The following is a 4,891-nucleotide window of genomic DNA, read 5'->3' on the forward strand; positions in this document are numbered from 1 at the left end:
TCTACTGCTCAATTGAAAGTTGACACAGGCTCCCAGTGAGGTAAAGGGAAGCACCTAGGTCTTGGCTGGTTAACAGGAGGTATGCTTCAATGCACTTTATTATTGCTAGTGATGTAGCCACCCTTCTTTAATGGCCTCAGAATATCTTTTCACTGATAGTTTGTTTTTAAATGTGCATCATGTAGACTTTTATAAACCTGGTTTCCTAAATTTGGCAGTAAGGATCAGTCAGGTTAAAATCCTAAGAAGGTTAAAAAAGCCACAAACAAGTAGATTCAAAAGCATTACAAATGTAAAAATAAACGAAGCCACACTTTTAAACATCAATTTATTTAAATGATTAGGCTGTTCACTGAAAATAAAACTTGCAAGCAGAATGGGAAGTGAGAGAATACAGACAATGGGCTGATTTGGGTAAACCTAACTGCTTTCTCTCTCTCTCCTCTCCCAGGCCTGTCTTTAGGCTGGAAGTGTCCTGTGGAATCCCTATCTGTGAACCCTATATTCAGTCTTCCTGTAGCCTCAACCTCAGTCCAATTCCTGAACACAGAGGTTGGGATTGACTGTTGTGAAGGAGAGGAGGAGAGTGCATGTCAAGTTTCAGTAGCTGGATGGACGAAGGCACGGAAGTAGGAATCAGCAGGGTATGTGTGGGTAGGCAGAAAAGACCCCAACCTGTCAGTGAAGACTCTTGGGTTGGAGATAAGGTTGGATGGGGCGGCTGAGGCATATCATGGGGCTTTCTGTCATTAAAATGAGGTTTAAGAATTTAAACACTTCAACTCATTTAACTTGGTATGTAAAACTGAAGTTAACACAAAGCAAAATCATAGCAAAATGTTTCCCATTTAACAGCAAACTGAAAAGGGTAAAGAAAATCACTTAAGGGAGGAGCCAAGATGGCCGAATAGGAACAGCTCCGGTCTACAGCTCCCAGCGTGAGCGACGCAGAAGACGGGTGATTTCTGCATTTCCATCTGAGGTACCGGGTTCATCTCACTAGGGAGTGCCAGACAGTGGGCGCAGGCCAGTGTGTGTGCGCACCATGCGCGAGCCGAAGCAGGGCGAGGCATTGCCTCAGCTGGGAAGCGCAAGGGGTCAGGGAGTTCACTTTCCAAGTCAAAGAAAGGGGTGACGGACGCACCTGGAAAATCGGGTCACTCCCACCCGAATATTGCGCTTTTCAGACCGGCTTAAGAAACGGCGCACCACGAGACTATATCCCACACCTGGCTCAGAGGGTCCTACGCCCACGGAACCTCGCTGATTGCTAGCACAGCAGTCTGAGATCAAACTGCAAGGCGGCAAGGAGGCTGGGGGAGGGGCGCCCGCCATTGCCCAGGCTTGCTTAGGTAAACAAAGCAGCCGGGAAGCTCGAACTGGGTGGAGCCCACCACAGCTCAAGGAGGCCTGCCTGCCTCTGTAGGCTCCACCTCTGGGGGCAGGGCACAGACAAACAAAAAGACAGCAGTAACCTCTGCAGACTTAAGTGTCCCTGTCTGACAGCTTTGAAGAGAGCAGTGGTTCTCCCAGCACGCAGCTGGAGATCTGAGAACGGGCAGACTGCCTCCTCAAGTGGGTCCCTGACCCCTGACCCCCGAGCAGCCTAACTGGGAGGCACCCCCCAGCAGGGGCACACTGACACCTCACACGGCAGGGTATTCCAACAGACCTGCAGCTGAGGGTCCTGTCTGTTAGAAGGAAAACTAACAACCAGAAAGGACATCTACACCGAAAACCCATCTGTACATCACCATCATCAAAGACCAAAAGTAGATAAAACCACAAAGATGGGGAAAAAACAGAACAGAAAAACTGGAAACTCTAAAACGCAGAGCGCCTCTCCTCCTCCAAAGGAACGCAGTTCCTCACCAGCAACAGAACAAAGCTGGATGGAGAATGATTTTGATGAGCTGAGAGAAGAAGGCTTCAGACGATCAAATTACTCTGAGCTACGGGAGGACATTCAAACCAAAGGCAAAGAAGTTGAAAACTTTGAAAAAAATTTAGAAGAATGTATAACTAGAATAACCAATACAGAGAAGTGCTTAAAGGAGCTGATGGAGCTGAAAACCAAGGCTCGAGAACTACGTGAAGAATGCAGAAGCCTCAGGAGCCAATGCGATCAACTGGAAGAAAGGGTATCAGCAATGGAAGATGAAATGAATGAAATGAAGCGAGAAGGGAAGTTTAGAGAAAAAAGAATAAAAAGAAATGAGCAAAGCCTCCAAGAAATATGGGACTATGTGAAAAGACCAAATCTACGTCTGATTGGTGTACCTGAAAGTGATGTGGAGAATGGAACCAAGTTGGAAAACACTCTGCAGGATATTATCCAGGAGAACTTCCCCAATCTAGCAAGGCAGGCCAACGTTCAGATTCAGGAAATACAGAGAACGCCACAAAGATACTCCTCGAGAAGAGCAACTCCAAGACACATAATTGTCAGATTCACCAAAGTTGAAATGAAGGAAAAAATGTTAAGGGCAGCCAGAGAGAAAGGTCGGGTTACCCTCAAAGGAAAGCCCATCAGACTAACAGCGGATCTCTCGGCAGAAACCCTACAAGCCAGAAGAGAGTGGGGGCCAATATTCAACATTCTTAAAGAAAAGAATTTTCAACCCAGAATTTCCTATCCAGCCAAACTAAGCTTCATAAGTGAAGGAGAAATAAAATACTTTATAGACAAGCAAATGCTGAGAGATTTTGTCACCACCAGGCCTGCCCTAAAAGAGCTCCTGAAGGAAGCACTAAACATGGAAAGGAACAACCGGTACCAGCCGCTGCAAAATCATGCCAAAATGTAAAGACCATCGAGACTAGGAAGAAACTGCATCAACTAATGAGCAAAATCACCAGCTAACATCATAATGACAGGATCAAATTCACACATAACAATATTAACTTTAAATATAAATGGACTAAATTCTGCAATTAAAAGACACAGACTGGCAAGTTGGATAAAGAGTCAAGACCCATCAGTGTGCTGTATTCAGGAAACCCATCTCACGTGCAGAGACACACATAGGCTCAAAATAAAAGGATGGAGGAAGATCTACCAAGCCAATGGAAAACAAAAAAAGGCAGGGGTTGCAATCCTAGTCTCTGATAAAACAGACTTTAAACCAACAAAGATCAAAAGAGACAAAGAAGGCCATTACATAATGGTAAAGGGATCAATTCAACAAGAGGAGCTAACTATCCTAAATATTTATGCACCCAATACAGGAGCACCCAGATTCATAAAGCAAGTCCTGAGTGACCTACAAAGAGACTTAGACTCCCACACATTAATAATGGGAGACTTTAACACCCCACTGTCAACATTAGACAGATCAATGAGACAGAAAGTCAACAAGGATACCCAGGAATTGAACTCAGCTCTGCACCAAGCAGACCTAATAGACATCTACAGAACTCTCCACCCCAAATCAACAGAATATACATTTTTTTCAGCACCACACCACACCTATTCCAAAATTGACCACATAGTTGGAAGTAAAGCTCTCCTCAGCAAATGTAAAAGAACAGAAATTATAACAAACTATCTCTCAGACCACAGTGCAATCAAACTAGAACTCAGGATTAAGAATCTCACTCAAAGCCGCTCAACTACATGGAAACTGAACAACCTGCTCCTGAATGACTACTGGGTACATAACGAAATGAAGGCAGAAATAAAGATGTTCTTTGAAACCAACGAGAACAAAGACACCACATACCAGAATCTCTGGGACACATTCAAAGCAGTGTGTAGAGGGAAATTTATAGCACTAAATGCCTACAAGAGAAAGCAGGAAAGATCCAAAATTGACACCCTAACATCACAATTAAAAGAACTAGAAAAGCAAGAGCAAACACATTCAAAAGCTAGCAGAAGGCAAGAAATAACTAAAATCAGAGCAGAACTGAAGGAAATAGAGACACAAAAAACCCTTCAAAAAATCAATGAATCCAGGAGCTGGTTTTTTGAAAGGATCAACAAAATTGATAGACCGCTAGCAAGACTAATAAAGAAAAAAAGAGAGAAGAATCAAATAGACACAATAAAAAATGATAAAGGGGATATCACCACCGATCCCACAGAAATACAAACTACCATCAGAGAATACTACAAACACCTCTACGCAAATAAACTAGAAAATCTAGAAGAAATGGATACATTCCTCGACACATACACTCTCCCAAGACTAAACCAGGAAGAAGTTGAATCTCTGAATAGACCAATAACAGGCTCTGAAATTGTGGCAATAATCAATAGTTTACCAACCAAAAAGAGTCCAGGACCAGATGGATTCACAGCCGAATTCTACCAGAGGTACAAGGAGGAACTGGTACCATTCCTTCTGAAACTATTCCAATCAATAGAAAAAGAGGGAATCCTCCCTAACTCATTTTATGAGGCCAGCATCATTCTGATACCAAAGCCGGGCAGAGACACAACCAAAAAAGAGAATTTTAGACCAATATCCTTGATGAACATTGATGCAAAAATCCTCAATAAAATACTGGCAAACCGAATCCAGCAGCACATCAAAAAGCTTATCCACCATGATCAAGTGGGCTTCATCCCTGGGATGCAAGGCTGGTTCAATATACGCAAATCAATAAATGTAATCCAGCATATAAACAGAGCCAAAGACAAAAACTACATGATTATCTCAATAGATGCAGAAAAAGCCTTTGACAAAATTCAACAACCCTTCATGCTAAAAACTCTCAATAAATAAGGTATTGATGGGACGTATTTCAAAATAATAAGAGCTATCTATGACAAACCCACAGCCAATATCATACTGAATGGGAAAAAACTGGAAGCATTCCCTTTGAAAACTGGCACAAGACAGGGATGCCCTCTCTCACCGCTCCTATTCAACATAGTGTTGGAAGT

The 4,891-nt window shown here is 43.1% G+C and overlaps 1 annotated feature.

The window, feature by feature from the left end:
- Window positions 552-1,161: an enhancer, noted in NCBI's record as "NANOG-H3K27ac-H3K4me1 hESC enhancer chrX:129651017-129651626 (GRCh37/hg19 assembly coordinates)". NCBI's record gives its function as "activates a minimal SCP1, AML or CMV promoter by ChIP-STARR-seq in primed H9 embryonic stem cells {active_cell/tissue: H9 hESC(primed)}" and the evidence as "EXISTENCE:reporter gene assay evidence [ECO:0000049][PMID:30033119]".

This window comes from Homo sapiens, chromosome X (assembly GCF_000001405.40).
Source record: "Homo sapiens chromosome X, GRCh38.p14 Primary Assembly".
Classification (NCBI taxonomy): Eukaryota; Metazoa; Chordata; class Mammalia; order Primates; family Hominidae; genus Homo; species Homo sapiens.